The sequence below is a fragment of the Homo sapiens genome, chromosome 9, assembly GCF_000001405.40.
Source record: "Homo sapiens chromosome 9, GRCh38.p14 Primary Assembly".
NCBI lineage: Eukaryota > Metazoa > Chordata > Mammalia > Primates > Hominidae > Homo > Homo sapiens.
In genome coordinates this window covers 115,472,229-115,478,228 of record NC_000009.12, presented here as the reverse complement: position 1 = coordinate 115,478,228, position 6,000 = coordinate 115,472,229, and the positions used below count along the sequence as shown (strand labels likewise).

At 45.6% G+C, this 6,000-nt stretch overlaps 1 annotated feature.

Moving 5' to 3' along the window:
• Positions 4,686-5,467: an enhancer, noted in NCBI's record as "OCT4-NANOG-H3K27ac hESC enhancer chr9:118235041-118235822 (GRCh37/hg19 assembly coordinates)". NCBI's record gives its function as "activates a minimal SCP1, AML or CMV promoter by ChIP-STARR-seq in naive H9 embryonic stem cells {active_cell/tissue: H9 hESC(naive)}" and the evidence as "EXISTENCE:reporter gene assay evidence [ECO:0000049][PMID:30033119]".

Sequence of the window (6,000 nt, the reverse complement as noted above, 5' to 3'; positions counted from 1 at the left end):
GTGATGGCCTGGATACGGTTTTGTGTGAATTGAAAAACTAAATGGAATAAGAGAAGGAGAAAAACAGGTATAAAAGGTAGATGTCAGCTGTGATGGCTTGGAGAAACAGTGTAAACCAGCAGTGTAAACAAGAGCAGGGCATGTATGAGTAGTTGAGAACGGTGAATAGGAGTATGACTAGACAAAAGATAGTAGGGATGACAAGTTTTTTGGGGGCACAGTCTAAGTTGGTCTGGTGTCAAATGAGACTGGGGCCTAATAAAAAGGAGCATCTATACAGGAGCTTAAATGGGCTGTACCTTGTAGCATTCTGAGGACAGGCCTGTATTCTGAGAAGCAAAAGTGGTAAAAGTATTGTCCAGTCCTTTTTAAGTTGGTGGCTGAGCTTGGTGATGTGTGTTTTTAATAGACTATTAGTCTGTCACTGAATATTAAGAGCCTGAAAAAATGCTTGGCTGGTTTGACTAATAAAGGCTGGTCTGTTATCAGACTGCATAGAGGTGGGAAGGCTAAACTGAGGAATTATGTCTGACAGAAGGGAAGAAATGACTGCGGTGGCCTTCTCAGACCCTGTAGGAAAGGCCTCTACCTATCTAGTGAAAGTGTCTACTTAGACTAATAGGTATTTTAGTTTTTGTGACTCAGGGATTTTGAGTAAAGCTAATTTGCCAGTCCTGGGTGGGGGCAAATCTTCAAGCTTGATGTGTAGGGAAGGGAGGGGGCCTGAATAATCCCTGAGGAGTAGTAGAATAGCAGATGGAACACTGAGAAGTTATTTCCTTGAGGATAGATTTCCGCGATGGAAAGGAAATGAGAGGTTCTAAGAGGCGGGCTAGTGGCTTGTGCTGTAGCATAGACTGCCTTTGCTGGTGTGTGGCGATTAGGCCTGGTGGAACCGCCATCAATAAATTAAGCGTGATCAGGCTGAGGAACAGGAAAGAAGGAAATATGGGGAAATGGGGTGAATGTCAGGTGGATCAGAGAGATACAGTCATGGGGGTCAGGTGTGGTATCAGAAATAATATGGGAGGCCGGATTGAAGTCCGTGCCAGGAACAATGGTAATTGTGGGAGACTTAACAAAGAGTGAGTACAGCTGAAGGATCCGGGGAGCAGAAAGTATATGCATCAGGTATAAGGAAGAAAATATATTTTGGAAGTTATGTGAAATGTAGAAAGTGAGTTGAGCATAGTTTGTGATTTTTAGGGCCTCTAAAATATTACGGCGGCAGCAGCCGCTGCACGCAGACATGAGGGCTAGGCTAAAACAGTAAGGTCAAGTTGTTTGCACAGAAAGGCTACAGGGCATGGTGCTGGCTCTTGTGTAAGAATTCTGACCGCACTAACCATGCCTAGGAAGGAAAGGAGTTGTTTTATAAAGGATTGAGGTTTGGGAGATTAATCGGACACAATCAGCAGGGAGAGCACGTGTGTTTTTATGATAATTATGCTGAGATAGGTAACAGATGAGGAAGAAATTTGGGCTTGATTGAAGTAATGGGGGCTGTCTGTGAAGCTTTGTGGCAGTACAGCCCAGGTAATTTGCTGAGCCTGATGGGTGTCAGGGTCAGTCCAAGTGAAAGCGAAGAGAGGCTGGGATGAAGGGTGCAAAGGAATAGTAGAGAAAGCATGTTTGAGATCCAGAACAGAATAATGGGTTGTGGAGGGAGGTATTGAGGATAGGAGAGTATATGGATTTGGCACCATGGGGTGGATAGGCAAAACAATTTGGTTGATAAGGCATAGATCCTGAACTAAATTGTAAGGCTTGTCTGGTTTTAGGACAGGTAAAATGGGGGAATTGTAAGGAGAGTTTGTAGGCTTTAAAAGGCCATGCTGTAGCAGGCGAGTGATAACAGGCTTTAATCATTTCAAAGCATGCTGTGGGATGGGATATTGGCATTGAGCGGGGTAAAGGTGATTAGGTTTTAATGAGATGGTAAGGGGTGCATGGTCAGACGCCAAGGAGGGAGTAGAGGTATCTTACACTTGTGGGTTAAGGTGGGGGGATACAAGAGGAGGACACAAAGGAGGCTTTGGGTTGGGGAGAAGGGCAGCAATGAGATGCGACTGTAGTCCAGGAATAGTCAGGGAAGAAGATAATTTAGTTAAAGTGTCTTGGCCTAATAAGGGAACTGGGCAGGTGGGGATAACTAAAAAGGAGTGCTTAAAAGAGTATTGTCTAAGTTGACACGAGAGTTGGGGAGTTTAAGAGGTTTAGAAGCCTGGCTGTCAATACCCACAACAGTTATGGAGGCAAGGGAAACAGGCCCTTGAAAAGAAGGTAATGTGTAGTGGGTAGCCTCCGTATTGATTAAGAAGGGGACGGACTTACTTTCCACTGTGAGAGTTACCTAAAGCTTGGCATCCGTGATGGTCTACAGGGCTTCCGAGGCGATCCAGCAGCGTCAGTCTTCAGCCGCTAAGCCGAGAAGGAGTCAGAGAGCCTTGGGCCAGAGTTCCAGGGGCTGTGGGAGTGGCTGCCAGGTGAGTTGAACAGTCCGATTTCCAGTGGGGTCCTGCACAGATGGGACACGGCTTAGGAGGAATCCTGGGCTGCAGGCATTCCTTGGCCTGGTGGTCAGATTTCTGGCACTTGTAGCAAGCTCCTGGGGAAGGAGGTTCTGGAGGAACGCCTGGCCGCTGCGGTTCAGGTGCTTGGAAGTTCTTGTGTGCTGGAGATGTGGCTGGGGTTTGTCTCACAGTGGAGGCAAGGAATTGCAACTTTTTTATATTATTGTACACCTTGAAGGCGAGGTTAATTAAATCCTGTTGTGGGGTTTGAGGGCTGGAATTTAATTTTTGGAGTTTTATTTAATGTCAGGAGCAGATTGGGTAATAAAATGTATTTTGAGAATAAGATGGCCTTTTGACCTTTTAGGGTCTAGGGATGTAAAGCGTCTCGGGGTTGCTGCTGAACGAGCCATGAACTGGGCTGTGTTTTTATATTTCATGAAAAAGCCTAAACGCTATCTGATTGGGATAAAGAAAAAGGAGCATTAACCTTGACTATGCCTTTGGCTCCAGCCACCTTTTTAAGAGTAAATTGCTGGGCAGGTGGGGGAGGGCTAGTCACCGAACAAAACTGTAAGCCAGACCAGGTGTGAGGAGGGGAGGCGATAAAAAGATTACAGGGTGGAGGAGCGGAGGCTGAGGAAGAATTGGGACCTAGCTTGGGCTGGCGAGGAGGGGAGAGGTCAGATGGGTCTGTAGAAAAGGAAGATTAGAAAGACTCAGCGACGCTTGGGGTTGGGACAGAGGGGACAGGCGTGAGGGAAAGAAGGAAGATTTGGGACGAGTTGCACTGGGCACAGAGACTAGGAAGGGACTGATGTGTAAAAGAATGCCTGGACGTCAGGCACCTCAGACCATTTCCCTATTTTACGACAAGAATTATTTAGATCTTGTAGGATGGAAAAATTGAAAGTGCCGTTTTCCGGTTATTTGGAACTACTGTGGAGTTTGTACTGGGGTCAAGCGGCATTGCAGAAGAAAATAAGGCATTTAGGTTTTAGGTCAAGTGTGAGTTGAAGAGGTTTTAAGTTTTTGAGAACACAGGCTAAGGGAGAAGAAGGAGGAATGGAAGGTGGAAGCTTACCCATAGTGAAGGAGGCAAGCCTAGAGAAAAGAGTAGAGACACGGAGAAGGGGTGGGGGGTTCTTGCCCTCCAGAAAAGCAGAGAAGGGGTTTGGGCACGGAAATAAGGGATTGGGGCACAGAGATAAGAGGTCAGGGTGCGGAAATAAGGGATTCGGGCACAGAGATAAGAGGTTGGGGTGCAGAAATAAGCGATTGGGGGGTTCTTGCCCCCTAGGAAAGCAGGACTTGCCACTAAGGGTGAAGGAGAAGGGGTTGAGGGGTACTTACCCCTGCCCCAGAAAAGCAGGACTTGCCGCTAAGGGTGAAGGAGAAGGGGTTGAGGGGTACTTACCCCTGCCCCAGAAAAGTGGGACTTGCCGCTAAGGGTGAAGGAGAAGGGGTTGAGGGGTACTTGCCCCTCTCCCAGAAAAGCAGAGAAGGGGTAGAGACAAGGAGAGAAGGGGTTGGGGTACTTGCCCTGTCCCCGGAAAAGCAGAGAAGGGGTAGAGACAAGGACAGAAGGGGTTGGGGTACTTGCCCCTCCCCTAGAAAAGCGGGACTTGCTGCTAAGGGTGAAGGACCAAGGCAGGCATTCCTGCGTGGTCTGACACCCTTGAAACGTGGGTGTATAATCAGAGAGGCTTCCCTGCAATGATTAAACACCAACAGAAGGCTGCCTTCCCAGTCCGTGACCGGCGCCGGAGTTTTGGGTCCACAGATAAGATGTGTCTCCTTTGTCTCTACCAGAAAATGAAAGGAATTGAAATTAAGAGAAGGGAGAGATTGAAGTGTAGCGCCAAGATTGAAAGGAGAAAGAGGTTGAAGGATAGTGAGGGAAGTTGGAGAAGAGAGTAAAAAGAGGCCGCTTACCGGATTTGAAATTGGTGACATGTTTCTTGGGCTGGTCGGTCTGAGGACCTGAGGTCGTAGGTGGATCTTTCTCACGGAGCAAAGAGCAGGAGGACGGGGGATTGATCTCCTAAGGGAGGTCCCCCGATCCGAGTCACGGCACCAAATTTCATGCACGTCCGTGTGAAGAGACCACCAAACAGGCTTTGTGTGAGCAATGAAGCTGTTTATTTCACCAGGGTGCAGGTGGGATGAGTCCGAAATGAGAGTCAGTGAAGGGAGATAAGGGTGGGGCAGTTTTATAGGATTTGGGTAGGTAAAGGAAAATTACAGTCAAAGGGGGTTTGTTCTCTGGCGGGCAGGAGTGGGGGGTCACAAGATGCTCAGTGGGGGTGCTTTTTGAGCCAGGATGAGCCAGGAAAAGGACTTTCACAAGGTAATGTCATCACTTAAGGCAAGGACCGGCCATTTACACTTCTTTTGTGGTGGAATGTCATCAGTTAAGGTAGGGCAGGGCATATTCACTTCTTTTGTGATTCTTCAGTTACTTCAGGCCATCTGAGTGTATGCGTGCAAGTCACAGGGGATGCGATGGCTTGGCTTGGGCTCAGAGGCCTGACAATAACTATGTGAGGTAATGCATGTGTTAGCCAGATTTATCCATTCTACAATGTATATATACTTTAATACATCATGTTGTACACAGTAAATTTGTATAATTTTATGCAAATGTAAAACAAAGTAAAATTAAAAACATCAAAAGTATAAAATAATCTTTAGTCATCAACTATTCAGTATACCGATGACTTCTTATATATTTGCTTACCATGAAAGAATATTAAGAGGTGGTTTTTGTGCAAAAAGTAGGAGCATTTCCTCTTGTAAAACTTTACATGACGTTTCTTAAGTGTCGCATTGGAATAGTAGAGCTATCCCAGAATTTCAGGTGGCCTTATGGAAGCACTTGCTGGAGGCTTTATTTTTTTTTTTTTTCCTACTTTTACTGCCTCTATAGAAACAATGCTGTGTGTATGCATAAGCACTGGGAATATTTTTCCAGGATCTCTCTGTGGGGTTCAATATTGCTTCAAAATCTTTGTTTGCATTGAGAGTGTAGTTAGATAATTGAAACCAGAACCTGAAATGGCTACTTGCTGTTTTAAGAGGCCAGATAACCTAGAGATGGGAGGTTTGGGTTCTTGCCCTGGTTCCACAACTCCTCTGAGCTACTGTGTCCCCATCTCTTTACTATGGGCGTAAAACTACCCATCTCCCAAAACTGTGAAAATTAGCTCATTAATAATCATATGAGACCTTCAATAAAGCTGAAGTAAAAATCAAAGCTATTTATTCAGATGTTTAAGAATTTCAAATTAAGGACTCACACTTAGCTTGTGGTTTTTACTCAGAATTAATGGGATTTAATAGAATCAGTCTGCATATTATTTTCCCTCTCTTCCATACCCTACAAATAAATGAGTCTCATCTTTACCTTTGAACATGCTATTTCTTCTATCAGGTATACTATCCCTAGATCTGTTCCTCTACATAAGTCCCAACCATGATTTCAATC